Here is a 17,784-nt window from a genome sequence, read left to right on the forward strand (position 1 = left end):
ACAAGACTTTCCATCTGTCTGCCTTTTTAATTTTAAACATAGCCTATTTTCTTTGTAAAATATTAGAAACATCTCTTAAACAAAATTGCTAATAGACAAATGTAAATCATTTGGAAATGGCTATAACTTGTGGAAATTGGTTGAGATAATATTTCAAAACAGGTTATTGCATTTTAGGTCTGACTCTTAATGTGAATAATATGATGTAACTAAACTTATAGATATTTTAAAATAGAATCTTAGTAAACATTGTTGCTTTTTCCTTGCACCTTTTAAACTCATTGTTATAGTGGAAAGTGCTTAAACACTGTTTATCCCAAGAATTTATAAAATATATTATTTTAAAATATCAGATTTTAAAAATGATTTAAGTAGAGCATGTGATATATATTCATCTTTTACCACTTAATGTTGAGTTTTAGAAAATATGTGTTGTTAATGGACCATCGACTTTCAAGTCATTTTGTTTACTAAGCTTGAACTGAGATTTGAGCAATTATGTGTGTAGTAAAACCTTTAAAACAGAATGCATTGCATTAAAGAATGTTCATGTTCATTTGCAATGAAGCAGAGAATAGTGTCAGAACTCTGCCCTAACTAGGATTAAGTTGAGAAGTAAACTCTGTATACTTTCTTGCATTTATTATCTGAATGTCTGAAATTTTAGTGTTGTTGACATCTGGAGTGTTTTTCAACATGTTTTATAATGTGTTTTACTTTCATTTCATTGTTCATCACGTAGTCATTTGCCGTTCCTGTTAGTGTTTTCCAAGTGTTAGAAACCTTTTTCTTTCTGCATGCTAATGTCACCTACTTGCCACAATTGCATTTTTGCAAATATTCTTTTTTATTTTTTATTTATTTTTCATTGCATGTGTTTAAGGTGTGCAAGATAATGTTTTGATATACATATACATAGTGAAATGATTATTATAAGTAAGCTCTTACCTTTTTTTGTGGTAAGAGCACCTGAAATCTACTCTCTTAGCAAATTTTCAATATACAATACAGTATTTTTAGCTATATCCTTCTGCTATACATCAGATCTCTATAATTAGTCATCCTACCTAACTTCAAGTTTGTACTTTGATGAATATCTCTCCTTTTGCTCTGCCTCTCTGCCCTTGAAAACCACTGTTATTCTCCCTATTTGTATGTATTTGAACTTGTTTTAGGTATCACATATAGATGAGATCATGCAGTACTTTTCTTTGTGTCTGGTTCATTTCACACAGCATAATATCCTCCTGGCTCATCTATGTTGCCACAAATGCCAGTATCTCTTTTTTTAAGAGTAAATATATTCCATGGTATATACACCACAATTTCTTTATCCATTCATGCGTTGATGGACACCTGAGTTGTTTCCATATCCTGGCTATTGTGGATAATGCTGCAGTGAACATGGATCACAGCTAGCTCTGTGATGTGCTGATTTCGTTTCCTTTGGATGTACGTATACAAAGCAGAGAGATTTCTGAGCCATAGGATAATTCTTTTTTTCATTTTTTGAGGAATCTCAATACTGTTTTCAATAATAGCCATGCCAATTTATGTTTCAATTAATAGTGTACAGGGTTCACTTTTCTCCAAATCTTTGCCAACATTTTTTATCTCTTTTTTGTAATAGCCATCATAACATGTGTCAGGTGATATCTCATTATGGTTTTGATTTGCATTTCCCTGATGATTAGTGTTGTTGAGCACTTTTCCATATATCCGTTAGCCATTTGTATGTCTTATTTGGAGAAATGTCTATTTACATTCTTTCCCCTTTTTAAAATTAGGTTATTTGCTATTTTACTATTGAGCTGTATGAATCTCTTACATGTTTTGGATATGAACCCCTTACACGTACATGGTTTGCAAACGTTTTCTCCCAATCCATTAACTGCCCTTTTCTTTTGTTGATTGTTTATTTTGCTATGCGGAAGTAACTTAATATGATATAGTCTCATTTCTTAATTTTGGTTTTGTTGCCTGAGCTTTTGCTGTGATACCCAAAAAAATTATTTCCCAGGTTTATATCAGAGAGCTTTTCCTTATATTTTCATCTAAGAGTTTTTCAGTTTGAGGTCTTGTGTTTAGGTCTTTAATTCATTTTAAGTTGATCTTTGTGAATGGTGTAAGATAATGGGCATTTTCATTTCTTTTCATGTTGACATTCAGTTTTCCCACCACCATTTATGGAAGAGACTATCCATTCCCTATTGTGTCCTCTTGGTGGCCTTGTGGAAAATAACTTACTATATGTGCTTGAGTTTATTTCTGAAGCTCTCTTTTCGGTTCTATTGGTCTATGTGTTTTAATGCCAGTATCATAATATTTAATTACTCTGGTTTTGTAATATAATTTGAAATCAGAAAGTGATATGTTTCCAACTTTGTTTTTCTTTCTGAAGATTGTTGTGGCTATTTAGAGTCTTGTGGTTCTATTCAAATTTTAATATTGTTTTTTCTATTTCTATGAAAAATATCTTTGGAATTTTAATAGGGATTATGTTGAATCTGCAGAGCTCTTTGGGTAGTATGGATAGTTTGACAGTATTAATTCTTCAATCCATTAACACAGAACTTTCCATTTATTTGTGCCTTCTTCAGTTTCTTTAATCAATATTTTATAGTTTTTATTGCTCAGATATTTTACTTTCTTGGTTAAATTTATTCCTCAGTAGTTTATTCTTTTTGATGACAATATAAATGGAATGTTTTCTTAATTGTGTATCTAATAGACCATTGTTGATACAAAGAAATGCAACTGATCTTACCATGTTGATTTTGTACCCTACTACTTTACTGAATTTATTTGTTCTAACAGGTTGTGTGTGTGTGTGTGTGTGTGTGTGTGTGTGTGTGTGTGTGTAGCCTTATAGGGTATTTTACATGTATAATCATTCAGTCTATAAGCAGTTATAATTTTATTCTTCCTTTTCAATTTTGATACCTTTAATTTCTTTTTCTTGTCTGATTGCTCCTGCTAGTACTATCAGTACTATGTTTAACAGAAGCAGAGAGAGTAGAAATCCTTACATTGTACCATATATTAGAGGCAAAGCTTTCAGTTTTTTCCCATTGATTATGATATTGGTTTTGGGCTTTTCATAAATGACCTTTATTATGTTCAAGAAATTTCCTTCTGTACCTGTTTCTTTAATATTAAAAAAAATCATGAACAGATACTGAACTTTGTCAAATGCTTTTACTGTATCTTTGACTTGATCCTGTGGTTTTTATCTTTCATCCTTTTAATGTGTTGTGTCACATATATTGATTTGTGTATGTTAAAGCAAACTTGCTTCCCAAGAATAAATTTCACTTAGTCATGGTGAATAATCTTTTTGTTGTGTTGTTGTATTTAGTTTGCGAGTTTTTTGTTGAAGATGTTTGCATGTATGTTTAGCAGCAATATTGGCCCATAGTTTTCTTTTCTCGTGATGTCTCTGTCAGCTTTGATGTCAGGGTGATACTAGCTTCATAAGATGAGTTTGGAAGTATTCCCTCTATTTTCATTTTTTGGAGGTGTTTAAGAATTACGGATATTAATTCTTCTTTTAATAATTTGCAGAATTCTGCTGTAAATTCATCTGATCCTAGGCTTTTGTTGCTGTTAGGAGGATTTTGATTACCACTTCAATCACTTTTTCTGTCATTGGTCTTTTCAGGCTATTTCTTCTCTGTTCAGTCTTTATATGTTGCATGTTTCCAGGAATTTATTTCCTCTAGATTATCCAATTTCTTGGCATGTAATTGTTCATAATATTCTTTATGATCCTTTTTTATTTCTGAGGTATCCCTTATAATGTTTCCTCTTTCATATCTAATTTTAATGTCATCTTCTCTCTTTCTTCTTCTAGCTAAGGGTTTATTGGTTTTGTTTATATTTTCAAAAAAATTTTAGTTTTGTTAATATTTCCTATAGTTTTTCTCTTTTCTGTTTGATTCCTATGCTGGTCTTTATTAGTTTCTTCATTCTGCTAATTTTTGATTCAGTTTGTTCTTTTTCTAGTTTCTTGAGGTGAGGTATGTTGTTTGAGATCTTTCTTCTGTTTTAATGTAGACATTTTTCACTTTAAGCTTTCTTGTTAGATTGCTTTTGCTGCATCCTATAAGTTTTCTTACGTTGTATTTCCATTTTCATTTCTCTCAAGATAGTTTTTGATTTTTTTCTTGATCTCATTTCCAAAGCATTTGGTTTCATTTTCACATATTTGTGAACTTTCCCATTTTTCTACTCTTATTGATTTCTATTTTCATACCATTGTTGTCAGAAAAGATTCTTGATATGATTTTGATCTTCTTAAATTTGTTAAGAATTGTTTTGTGGTCTAACGTGATCTATCCTAGAGACTATTACATGTGCACTTAAGAGGAATGTGTATTCTATTACTGTTGAATAGAATGTTCTATATATGTTGATTAGGTCTAAGGTACAGCTTAAATTTAATGTTCCTTTATTGAATTTTCATCTGGATGATCTATCCATTATTGAAAGTGTAGTATCAAAGTTCTCTATCATTATTGCTGTCTATTTCTCTCTTTAGTTGTTAATGTTTGCTTTATATGTTTATATTCTCTGATCTAAGATGCATATATATGTATAATTATTATGTCGTCTTGATAGAATAATCTCTTTCTCATTATGTTGACCTTCTAAAATTATATTGACTTTCTGTGATTATCGTTGACCTTCTTTGTCACTTGTTACAGTTTGTGACTTAGAACCTATTGTCAGATATTAGCTTAGCTTCCCTGCTTTCTTTTGGTTTCCATTTGCATGAAATGTCTTTTTCCATCCCTTCACTTTCAGCCAATGTGTGTTCTTGAATCAAAAGTGAGTATCTTATAGATGAATATAGTTGAATCTTGGATTTTTAAAATTCATTTAGCCAGCCTATATCTTTTTATTGGGTAGCTTAAACCATTTATATTTAAAGTGATAATTAACAAAGAATGAGTTACTATTGCCATTTTGTTAACTGTTTTCTTTTTGTGTTGTGGTTCTTTTGTTCCTCTTTTTCTTGCTTCCTGCCTCTTTTTTATTGTTTGTATTGCTAGATTTTAATTGCTGTTCCTTTTTCTTTTGTGTAACTTGTATAGGTATTTTCTTTGTGGTTATCAAGGGGCTTAAATATCTAATAGTTATAACAGTCTCTGCTTAGCTGATAACAGCTTAACTTCACTTGCATGCCAGAATTCACTGCTTTTACCTTTCCTCTCCTCACATTATACACTGCTGATGTCACAATTTACAACTTCTTATATTGCAGAACCATTCACACAATTTAGTTATAGTTGTATTTGAAACTTTTCTCTTTTACCTTTTATAGCAAATTACCATGTATCTATCTACCACTCTTACAGTAATACAATATTCTTTCTGTTCCTATATGTTTACCTTTGCTAATGAGTTTCATACTTGGTGTTCATTCATGTTGCTGTTTGGCATCCTGCTGTTTCAACTTCAGTGACTTCCTACAGCATTTCTCATAAGAAATGTCTAGTGGTGATAAACTTCCTCAGCTTTTGTATGTCTGTAGAAGTCTTTATCTTCCCTTTGTTTTTGAAAGGCTGGTTTGCTGGGTATAGATGGCAATTTGTTTCTTTTAGCATTTTGAATATATTTTTCTGCCCCCTTCTGGCCTGTAATGTTTCTACTGAAAAATCAACTGATAGTCTGATGGCATTTCCTGAGTAACAAGCCTTTTTTTCTCACTGCTTTCAAAATTCTCTCGGTCTTTAACTTTTGTCAAATCAATTACAATGTGTTTCAGTGTGGAACTCTTTGGATTCATATTATTTGATGTACCTGAGGTTTGCTGAATCTGGATTTCTGTTTTCTTTCCCAGGTTTGGAAAGTGTTCAGCCATTATTTCTTTAAATACTCTTTTTGTCCCTTTTTCTTTTTTTTCTCTTTCTCATCCTCCTATAATGTATGTAATTGTTACCCATAAGTCCCATAAAGCTGTCTTCAGTCTTTTTCATTATTTTTTCTACTTAGATTAATTTCTAATGACCTGTCTTCAGTTTTGCTGATCAATAGAGTCCTCTATTGATTTTTTCAATTCAGTCATTGTAATCTTCAACTCTATGATTTCTGTTTGATGCATTTTAATATTTTCTATCATTTTGTTGAAATTCTCAGCTTGTCATGCATTGTTTCCCTGACCGTGGTGTGAACACCCATATGACTGTTTCTTTGAATTTTCTCTTGGGTAAATCACACAGCTTTATTTCACTAAGGCTGGTTTCTGGAGATTTATCTTGGTTTTTTATTCGGAGCATATTTCTTTGTTTCCTGACTTTTATTGACACTCTGTGTTGGTTTCTGCACAGTCTGTAAGACAACTGTCTCTCCCTGTGTTATCAGACTAGTGTCTTTTAAGAAATGTACCTCACTAATCAATTCAGCAAGAGATTCTAGGTGCCCCAACTTTTATGCTTATCTTAATCTCTTTTTTTTCAGTGATCCCCAATTAGTATGTGCCAAGTTTTGTCAGTGCCCCAAGACAGACAAGATAGAAGCCAGTCCCTTGAGATGCATCTGGAAAATTTGGCATGTTAGATATGTATTGTCAGGGAGAAGCTGAGGATGGGAGTTTACCTCTTACTCAATCTGCACTAAGCCAGGAAGAGGATCTGTGGGAAATTCCTGCACTCTCATTTGAACTACACACTCTGATCTAGATGCATAGTTATTGGAAGTGCACCCATTCAAAAATCACATGCATTAAAACTCATAGAAATGTAAAAATTAAATATTAAAAGTCTAGTTTGATATATGTAAATTAAAATATATATGTGCATATGTATAATAATTTCAAACTATTGTAAAAAGATATAGCTAAAGTAGTGGATAATAATCAGATATAAGTCAGGAGAGAGATTGATCCAAGGTAAACAGGTCTTCCATTCTTACAAAGTTCGGAAGATATGTAAAGAAACCATCGACACTAAACTTTTTTTTTTATTATACTTTAAGTTTTAGGGTACATGTGCACAATGTGCAGGTTAGTTACATATGTATACATGTGCCATGCTGGTGCACTGCACCCACTAACTCGTCATCTAGCATTAGGTATACCTCCCATTGCTATCCCTCCCCCCTCCCCCCACCCCACAACAGGCCCCAGAGTGTGATGTTCCCCTTCCTGTGTCCATGTGATCTCATTGTTCAATTCCCACCTATGAGTGAGAATATGCGGTGTTTGGTTTTTTGTTCTTGCGATAGTTTACTGAGAATGATGATTTCCAATTTCATCCATATCCCTACAAAGGACATGAACTCATCATTTTTTATGGCTGCATAGTATTCCATGGTGTATGTGTGCCACATTTTCTTAATCCAGTCTATCATTGTTGGGCATTTGGGTTGGTTCCAAGTCTTTGCTATTGTAAATAGTGCCGCAGTAAACATACGTGTGCACGTGTCTTTATAGCAGCATGATTTATAGTCCTTTGGGTATATACCCAGTAATGGGATGACTGGGTCAAATGGTATTTCTAGTTCTAGATCCCTGAGGAATCGCCACACTGACTTCCACAATGGTTGAACTAGTTTACAGTCCCACCAACAGTGTAAAAGTGTTCCTATTTCTCCACATCCTCTCCAGCACCTGTTGTTTCCTGACTTTTTAATGATTGCCATTCTAACTGGTGTGAGATGGTATCTCATTGTGGTTTTGATTTGCATTTCTCTGATGGCCAGTGATGGTGAGCATTTTTTCATGTGTTTTTTGGCTGCATAAATGTCTTCTTTTGAGAAGTGTCTCTTCATGTCCTTCGCCCACTTTTTGATGGGTTTGTTTGTTTTTTTCTTGTAAATTTGTTTGAGTTCATTGTAGATTCTGGATATTAGCCCTTTGTCAGATGAGTAGGTTGTGAAAATTTTCTCCCATTTTGTAGGCTGCCTGTTCACTCTGATGGTAGTTTCTTTTGCTGTGCAGAAGCTCTTGAGTTTAATTAGATCCCATTTGTCAATTTTGGCTTTTGTTGCCATTGCTTTTGGTGTTTTAGACATGAAGTCCTTGCCCATGCCTATGTCCTGAATGGTAAAGCCTAGGTTTTCTTCTAGAGTTTTTATGGTTTTAGGTCTAACGTTTAAGTCTTTAATCCATCTTGAATTGATTTTTGTATAAGGTGTAAGGAAGGGATCCAGTTTCAGCTTTCTACATATGGCTAGCCAGTTTTCCCAGCACCATTTATTAAATAGGGAATCCTTTCCCCATTGCTCGTTTTTCTCAGGTTTGTCAAAGATCAGATAGTTGTACATATGTGGCATTATTTCTGAGGGCTCTGTTCTGTTCCATTGATCTATATCTCTGTTTTGGTACCAGTACCATGCTGTTTTGGTTACTGTATCCTGGTAGTATAGTTTGAAGTCAGGTAGTGTGATGCCTCCAGCTTTGTTCTTTTGGCTTAGGATTGACTTGGCGATGCGGGCTCTTTTTTGGTTCCATATGAACTTTAAGGTAGTTTTTTCCAATTCTGTGAAGAAAGTCATTGGTAGCTTGATGGGGATGGCATTGAATCTATCTGTAAATTACCTTGGGCAGTATGGCCATTTTCACGATATTGATTCTTCCTACCCATGAGCATGGAATGTTCTTCCATTTGTTTGTATCCTCTTTTATTTCCTTGAGCAGTGGTTTGTAGTTCTCCTTGAAGAGATCCGTCACATCCCTTGTAAGTTGGATTCCTGGGTATTTTATTCTCTTTGAAGCAATTGTGAATGGGAGTTCACTCATGATTTGGCTTTCTGTTTGTCTGTTGTTGATGTATAAGAATGCTTGTGATTTTTGTACATTGATTTTGTATCCTGAAACTTCGCTGAAGTTGCTTATCAGTTTAAGGAGATTTTGGGCTGAGACAATGGGGTTTTCTAGATATACAATCATGTCATCTGCAAACGGGGACAATTTGACTTCCTCTTTTCCTAATTGAATACCCTTTATTTCCTTCTCCTGTCTAATTGCCCTGGCCAGAACTTCCAACACTATGTTGAATAGGAGTGGTGAGAGAGGGCATCCCTGTCTTGTGCCAGTTTTCAAAGGGAATGCTTCCAGTTTTTGCCCATTCAGTATGATATTGGCTGTGGGTTTGTCATAGACAGCTCTTATTATTTTGAGATACGTCCCATCAATACCTAATTTATTGAGAGTTTTTAGCATGAAGCATTGTTGAATTTTGTCAAAGGCCTTTGCTGCTTCTATTGAGATAGTCATGTGGTTTTTGTCTTTGGTTCTGTTTATATGCTGGATTACATTTATTGATTTGCGTGTATTCAACCAGCCTTGCATCCCAGGTATGAAGCCCACTCGATCATGGTGGATAAGCTTTTTGATGTGCTGCTGGATTCGGTTTGCCAGTATTTTATTGAGGATTTTTGCATCAATGTTCATCAAGGATATTGGTCTAAAATTCTCTTTTTTGGTTGTGTCTCTGCCCGGCTTTGGTATCAGGATGATGCTGGCCTCATAACGAGTTAGGGAGGATTCCCTCTTTTTCTATTGATTGGAATAGTTTCAGAAGGAATGGTACCAGTTCCTCCTTGTACCTCTGGTAGAATTCGGCTGTGAATCCATCTGGTCCTAGACTCTTTTTGGTTGGTAAGCTATTGATTATTGCCACAATTTCAGATGGTGTTATTGGTCTATTCAGAGATTCAACTTCTTCTTGGTTTAGTCTTGGGAGAGTGTATGTATCGAGGAATTTATCCATTTCTTCTAGATTTTCTAGTTTATTTGCATAGAGGTGTTTGTAGTATTCTCTGATGGTAGTTTGTATTTCTCTGGGATCGGTGGTGATATCTCCTTTATCATTTTTTATTGCGTCTATTTGATTCTTCTCTCTTTTTTTCTTTATTAGTCTTGCTAGCTGTCTATGAATTTTGTTGATCCTTTCAAAAAACCAGCTCCTGGATTCATTAATTTTTTGAAAGCTTTTTGTGTCTCTATTTCCTTCAGTTTTGCTCTGACTTTAGTTATTTCTTGCCTTCTGCTAGGTTTTGAATGTGTTTGCTCTTGCTTTTCTAGTTCTTTTAATTGTGATGTTAGGGTGTCAATTTTGGATCTTTCCTGCTTCCTCTTGTGGGCATTTAGTGCTATAAATTTCCCTCTACACACTGCTTTGAATGCGTCCCAGAGATTCTGGTATGTTGTGTCTTTGTTCTCGTTGGTTTCAAAAAACATCTTTATTTCTGCCTTCATTTCGTTATGTACCCAGTAGTCATTCAGGAGCAGGTTGTTCAGTTTCCATGTAGTTGAGCGGTTTTGAGTGAGTTTCTTAATCCTGAGTTCTAGTTTGATTGCACTGTGGTCTGAGAGATAGTTTGTTATAATTTCTGTTCTTTTACATTTGCTGAGGAGAGCTTTACTTCCAAGTATGTGGTCAATTTTGGAATAGGTGTGGTGTGGTGCTGAAAAAAACGTATATTCTGTTGATTTGGGGTGGAGAGTTCTGTAGATGTCTATTAGGTCTGCTTGGTGCAGAGCTGAGTTCAATTCCTGGGTATCCTTGTTGACTTTCTGTCTCGTTGATCTTTCTAATATTGACAGTGGGGTGTTAAAGTCTCCCATTATTAATGTGTGGGAGTCTAAGTCTCTTTGTAGGTCACTCAGGACTTGCTTTATGAATCTGCGTGCTCCTGTATTGGGTGCATATATATTTAGGATAGTTAGCTCTTCTTGTTGAATTGATCCCTTTACCATTATGTAATGGCCTTCTTTGTCTCTTTTGATCTTTGTTGATTTAAAGTCTGTTTTAACAGAGACTAGGATTGCAACCCCTGTCTTTTTTTGTTTTCCATTTGCTTGGTAGATCTTCCTTCCTCCATCCTTTTATTTTGAGCCTATGTGTGTCTCTGCACGTGAGATGGGTTTCCTGAATACAGCACACTGATGGGTCTTGACTCTTTATCCAGTTTGCCAGTCTGTGTCTTTTAATTGGAGGATTTAGTCCATTTACGTTTAAAGTTAATATTGTTAGGTGTGAATTTGATCCTGTCATTATGATATTAGCTGGTTATTTTGCTGGTTAGTTGATGCAGTTTCTTCCTAGTCTCGATGGTCTTTACATTTTGGCATGATTTTGCAGCGGCTGGTACCGGTTGTTCCTTTCCATGTTTAGCGCTTCCTTCAGGAGCTCTTTTAGGGCAGGCCTGGTGGTGACAAAATCTCTCAGCATTTGCTTGTCTGTAAAGTATTTTATTTCTCCTTCACTTATGAAGCTTAGTTTGGCTGGATATGAAATTCTGGGTTGAAAATTCTTTTCTTTAAGAATGTTGAACATTGGCCCCCACTATCTTCTGGCTTGTAGAGTTTCTGCCGAGAGATCCGCTGTTAGTCTGATGGGCTTCCCTTTGAGGGCAACCCGACCTTTCTCTCTGGCTGCCCTTAACATTTTTTCCTTCATTTCAACTTTGGTGAATCTGACAATTATGTGTCTTGGAGTTGCTCTTCTCGAGGAGTATCTTTGTGGCGTTCTCTGTATTTCCTGAATCTGAACGTTGGCCTGCCTTGCTAGATTGGGGAAGTTCTCCTGGATAATATCCTGCAGAGTGTTTTCCAACTTGGTTCCATTCTCCCCGTCACTTTCAGGTACACCAATCAGACGTGGATTTGGTCTTTTCAGATAGTCCCATATTTCTTGGAGGCTTTGTTCGTTTCTTTTTATTCTTTTTTCTCTAAACTTCCTTTCTCACTTCATTTCATTCATTTCGTCTTCCATCACTGATACCCTTTCTTCCAGTTGTTCGCATCGGCTCCTGAGGCTTCTGCATTCTTCACGTAGTTCTCGAGCCTTGGTTTTCAGCTCCATCAGCTCCTTTAAGCACTTCTCTGTATTGGTTATTCTAGTTATACATTCTTCTAAATTTTTTTCAGAGTTTTCAACTTCTTTGCCTTTGGTTTGAATGTCCTCCCATATCTCAGAGTAATTTGATCGTCTGAAGCCTTCTTCTCTCAGCTCGTCAAAGTCATTCTCCGTCCAGCTTTGTTCCATTGCTGGTGAGGAACTGCATTCCTTTGGAGGAGGAGAGGCGCTCTGCTTTTTAGAGTTTCCAGTTTTTCTGCTCTGTTTTTTCCGCATCTTTGTGGTTTTATCTACTTTTGGTCTATGATGATGGTAATGTACAGATGGGTTTTTGGTGTGGATGTCCTTTCTGTTTGTTAGTTTTCCTTCTAACAGACAGGACCCTCAGCTGCAGCTCTGTTGGAATACCTGGCCGTGTGAGGTGTCAGTCTGCCCCTACTGGGGGGTGCCTCCCAGTTAGGCTGCTCGGGGGTCAGGGGTCAGGGATTCACTTGAGGAGGCAGTCTGCCCGTTCTCAGATCTCCAGCTGCGTACTGGGAGAACCACTGCTCTCTTCAAAGCTGTCAGACAGGGACATTTAAATCTGCAGAGGTTACTGCTGTCTTTTTGTTTGTCTGTGCCCTGCCCCCAGAGGTGGAGCCTACAGAGACAGGCAGCCCTCCTTGAGCTGTGGTGGGCTCCACCCAGTTCAGTTGGAGCTCCCTGGCTGCTTTGTTTACCTGACCAAGCCTTGGCAATGGCGGGCGCCCCTCCCCCAGCCTCGCTGCCGCCTTGCAGTTTGATCTCAGACTGCTGTGCTAGCAATCAGTGAGACTCCGTGGGCATAGGACCCTCCCAGCCAGGTGCGGAATATAATCTCGTGGTGTGCCGTTGTTTTAGCCCGTCGGAAAAGCGCAGTATTCAGGTGGGAGTGACCCGATTTTCCAGGTGCCATCTGTCACCCCTTTCTTCGACTAGGAAAGGGAACTCCCTGACCCCTTGCGCTTCCCGAGTGAGGCAATGCCTCGCCCGCTTCGGCTCGCGCATGGTGCGTGCACCCACTGACCTGCACCCACTGTCTGGCACTCCCTAGTGAGATGAACCTGGTACCTCAGATGGAAATGCAGAAATCACCCGTCTTCTGCCTCACTCTCACTGGGAGCTGTAGACCAGAGCTGTTCCTATTCGGCCATCTTGGCTTCTCCTCCCAACAAGTTCTTTTGACACTAAACTTTTAAAGTAGATGTAAAAATATCCATTTTAACTATTAAAATAACAAAGTTTATCTTCCAAACCAGTAGAGAAAACAAATAGAACAGAAGTAGTAATGGAGAAAGGAGAGGAGAGGAGTTTATTAATTCAAATTAAATGAAAAAAAGGAGAAAGAAATAAGAAATGAAAATCAAATTCAAGTATAATAGTAAACATGATAAATGCAAATGGTTCAAATTCACTAGGTTACACAGGGATTATCAGACTGGATAATAAATGGAAGTTTTCCTTTCTTTTTTACTAAAACACCCCTAAAACATGAAGAGACAGTACTGTTGAAAATGAAAGGATGGAAAATGTTAAACCTGATATGTAGCATCAGTTTGGCTCTCCGGAATCATTCTAGACTGTCCTCCCTTCTCATCCCTCTCTCACCCCCAACTCTCACCTCAGCTCTATGCCATGGATGGTGATTTATGTATGGACTACATAAATGAGCCTCTTTTGCTGTGCAGCTTCTGATGGTCTCAACCTGTGGGGGACACAATCTGGAGCTTAGAGTGTTGGCAGATAGAGAGGTCAGAGCATTGTTCTCCTAAGTTCCTTCCTGAGAGACCATAGAATGGCAATATGTGTGTTCCTCTGTCAAAAGCCAAAACTTTAGTAAGATGGCCTTCCACAGTATTCTGTGGCCTAGGAAGATTTATGAATGCAGAGTTCTTTCTGCTTTCAAAGCTAAGTGTTTTAAGAACCAAACCCTTTGGGAGGAACAACAAAAATTGGGGTGCTTTATGTGTGGTCTAAGCCCTTTGCTACTCATGGAAAAGCTGGGAGTTTGGGGTTCCTTCCCAGTCATTAGGTGCTGTCCCCAGGTAGGGTTTGTGTGTGAGTGTGTCCCAGATTTTCCTACCCGTGTTGGTGTGGGTATATTCTTATTTTCCCAGTGTGTACAAGTCTCTCAACTAGTTTCTGGTTTTCTCCAAGAGGGATTGATCAATGTGTAGCTGTTTATTTAGTGCATCTATGGAAGGAGGGAAAATCAAGAGCTTCCTATTCTTCCATCTTGCAGATATTACCACTGCAAATGTCCTTGGGACAGAATGGTAGATATAAAACAAGTATAAGTAATTTCCTTGCAGTTTTTGCATTTTCCATGTTTAGCATTCTTTTCAAAGGATTAGATTGTGAATTTTCAGTGCTAAATAAGTTATGACTAACATTCCAGCTGGTAATATATTGATCAGTAGTGGTTGTGAGAATGGCAAATAGATAAGACATAGAGATATGATAAGAAATATAATAAAAATGCATACCTCAATGGTTTGTGATGGTAGATACTGGAAAGAAGAATAATTTAAGATATAATTAGACTTTGACTATAACGTATTCAGATATTTTTGAATATTATTAACAAACTTATGATCTGTAAAACATTAACTTCTGCCAGTAATTCCAGAGAATTATGTGCAATGGTTATTAGTTGCATAAAGCTGGAGGAATATTTAAATGATCTACTTAAAATTAATTACTCTTTGATCAATAATCTTGGTCAAAAAGAGGGCTTCCTATATCAGTATGGAAAATATTATATTTATTCACATTATTTTACAATTATCCTTCCTTTTTCATTGGATTCTCATTTACTTAATGAAGAAAACACATTAAATTGTTATAGGAACTATATTTCAGTATCTGTTCCTTTGACAGTAATTGTATTAGAGTTCCAGACCTCACACAGCTTAAATTCTCATTGTACAAAGTCTACTTTCAAATGCTTTCAAAAAGACAAAATTTCCCTCTCCCCCTTATTATTTGAGTGTAGGATGATATATTTTCTTGGCCTAGATCATGATACATACTTATGTCTGTCTTTTTAGCAATAATTTTTAACAAAAATTTAGCAAATCTCATTAATTTTGATTGTAACTTTGAATTATATTGCTTTGATCTAAAATTATTTATATAACACATAATTTTTCCCAAAAGTCTTTTGGATCAAAAATGTCAAATTGAGTATTAACGAAAGATTACTCTGTTAGTCTTCCACAAGAAAGATCAGGAGCCCATCATGGTTAGTACCAGTTTTGTCAGACAGTTCCATTGATGAGAGGCCATCTTCATTGCTCTTCTTTATTATTTTCTGTGTAAAACCGAATTCTATCTGACACAGCTTTGTGTTGGTTGTCTGTAAGTTAGCTTTAATATAGCAGTTTGCTTTAGCATTGTCAGATTCACAATGTAAAATATACTGTGGCAAAATAATACAATGTTGTGTTAGTTAAATTAAAAGCATTGACTCCTCCAGCCTTAAGAATAAATCTGAATTGTAGAGCCTGATCGTTAAAAGATAATGATCATATACTGCCATAGGCCACAGAAATTTAAAAGGTCTTAGTGCTTCTTTCAGATAGAGATGCAGAGACTAATTTGAAATGAATACATAGCCTAACAAGATGAGTAGGTTTATTTAAGCACATGACTGACTTTTGTTCTTCATGTTGAAGAGGCTTGAATCTTTAGTGTCACCCTGTTTTTAATAATGATCTTAAAAGTTCTTTTCTTTGGCAGTTTGCTTTCTTTCTGTGTATTAACCTTTGGTTGTCTAATTATTGTTTCCTTTGGTACATATTTAATATTTTCTGCTTGTGCTCTTTATTATTTGTGTTCTAGATCCATTGCTTGCCCAGTAAGTAAATACATGAAGAAAATATACTAATACTGTGGAGTAGAGGAAGGGAAGAGGAATATTTATGAATATTAATGAATATTAATAAAATCTACTACAGTCTATTTTATCATACATACTTCCCTTCCTTTTGTATATAAAATATAGTCACTTCCCACCTGCCTCCTCCAGGAAGAAACTCAAAAGTCTCATCTAATTGTCTAATCTTAATAGCCTTGAAGTAAAAATGCAAATTATCTGGCTCCCCACTCACCACATTCAACATTCAATGAGGAAACAGAACAAGATAATCATAATAAACACTTCCATTGCAAATAGAAAGATGGACACATATAGTAGTCCCTGAATACTAGCATTTCTGAACTCCTGTTGATCAGAGGTTTCACCATCCCTCTTCCTGTGTGAGTGGCAAATCTTTGCTGAGGTTTTCTGGGAACAACTCCCTAGTTATTGTTCATGACTCTTGGCTCTGGCCTCTGGCAAATCCTTCTGTTTCAATGATCTCACTTCGTTATATCTGAACAGGGCATTTGAGAATCCGTCTTTTTTGGATCTGAGCACTGAGTCTGAAACTATGAAAGGTTCTAGGTACCACTGTACTAGCACGTACAAGATATGCATGTATACGTGTATATATTAATACATACGTGTATACACACTAACATGTGAGTACACATACACAAAAATGCACACACACATAGTAGCAATATCTTGAGATCTCTGGTTTGGAGATAGACTCTTTACTCACATAGTAACCTGTGTCACTTCCCTATACCTCAATTTCCCACAAGATAACATAGTATCAGATATATCCTGCACAGAAAATGGGGTTTATGACACAGGAGAGTTACTCCAAAATTATGAATCTTGGGGCTTATATAGGGTAATTGGCACATGTGGCCCTTCTGCCCTCTGGAGACTAGAGAGGGAAGCTTCTCTAGAATGTAAGCAAATCCTCTCGGAGAAGATGGAGAGGTCTCTACTTCACCACTCTGGAATGTAAATAAAACTCTCTGAGGGAGATGTCCATAAATTTTCTTGGAAATTTCTATCTTTATCATACAAGACTTATTTGATATTCAATCATTTTTAACCCATGTTACTTGGAATTTTTGTTCAGGAAGCTCTGACCATGCAGAAACATGAAATATTCGTGGAGCATTGTCTCCTGACATTGTGTAGCTTTCTCAACCTTTCTTCTACCTATAACTTTGGTCCAAAGAAGGTCCAAAACGCGTATATACTTTGGTGGGAATCTCACTTATTTCAGCCACATGGAAAGCAGCTGATTACTCAAAGAACTTACAACTACCATTTGATGATTGGGTATATATCCCATTACTGCACATGTATCCAAAAGAAAATAAATTGTTCTACCAAAAAGACACGTGCACTCTTATTTTCATCACAGTACTATTCACAATAGCAAAGACATGGTGTCAACCTAGGTGCCCATTGAAATTGGAGTAGTTAAAGAAAATGTAGTACATGTACAACATGGAATACTATGCAGCCATAAAAGAGAAAAAATCATGCCCTGTGCAGCAGCATGTATGTAGCTGGTGGCCATTTTCCTAAGCTAATTAGCACAGGAACAGAAAACAAATACTGGATGGTCTCACTTCTAAGTGGGAGCTAAACATTTGATACACAAGGTCGTAAAGATGGCAACGGTAGGTACTGGGGACTACTAGGGGTGGAGTGAGGGATGGAGAGGCAGGATTTGAAAAACTATTGGGTACTGTGCTCACTACCTGGATGATGGGATCAGTATACCCCAAACCTTAGCATTGTGCAATATACCCATATAACAATCCTGCACGTGTACCTCCTGTAGAGATCTAAAAGTTGAAACAAACAAGAGATCGCCAGTGATGGTGTTTCTTGAAATATAATTCATACACCATACATTTTATCCATTTAGTGTATGATTCAGCAGCTTTTACTATAGTCACAAAATTCTACAACTCTACAACTGTCACTCCAGTTTTAGAACATTTTCATCATCCTAAAAAGAAACAACATAACCATTAGCAGACCCACGCAGCTCTACCTTACTCCACCCCGCTAAGTCCTAGGTAGCCACCTCTACTTTTTGCC

At 36.4% G+C, this 17,784-nt stretch overlaps 1 protein-coding gene across 9 annotated transcripts in view, besides 1 other annotated feature; it reads left to right on the plus strand.

The window, feature by feature from the left end:
• ATRNL1 (attractin like 1) overlaps window positions 1-17,784 on the plus strand; it is an 855,635-nt gene that overhangs the window by 481,427 nt on the left and 356,424 nt on the right. The window lies entirely within an intron of this gene.
• Window positions 12,109-12,609: an enhancer, noted in NCBI's record as "NANOG-H3K4me1 hESC enhancer chr10:117346410-117346910 (GRCh37/hg19 assembly coordinates)". NCBI's record gives its function as "activates a minimal SCP1, AML or CMV promoter by ChIP-STARR-seq in naive H9 embryonic stem cells {active_cell/tissue: H9 hESC(naive)}" and the evidence as "EXISTENCE:reporter gene assay evidence [ECO:0000049][PMID:30033119]".

Source organism: Homo sapiens, chromosome 10 (assembly GCF_000001405.40).
Source record: "Homo sapiens chromosome 10, GRCh38.p14 Primary Assembly".
Taxonomy (NCBI): Eukaryota; Metazoa; Chordata; class Mammalia; order Primates; family Hominidae; genus Homo; species Homo sapiens.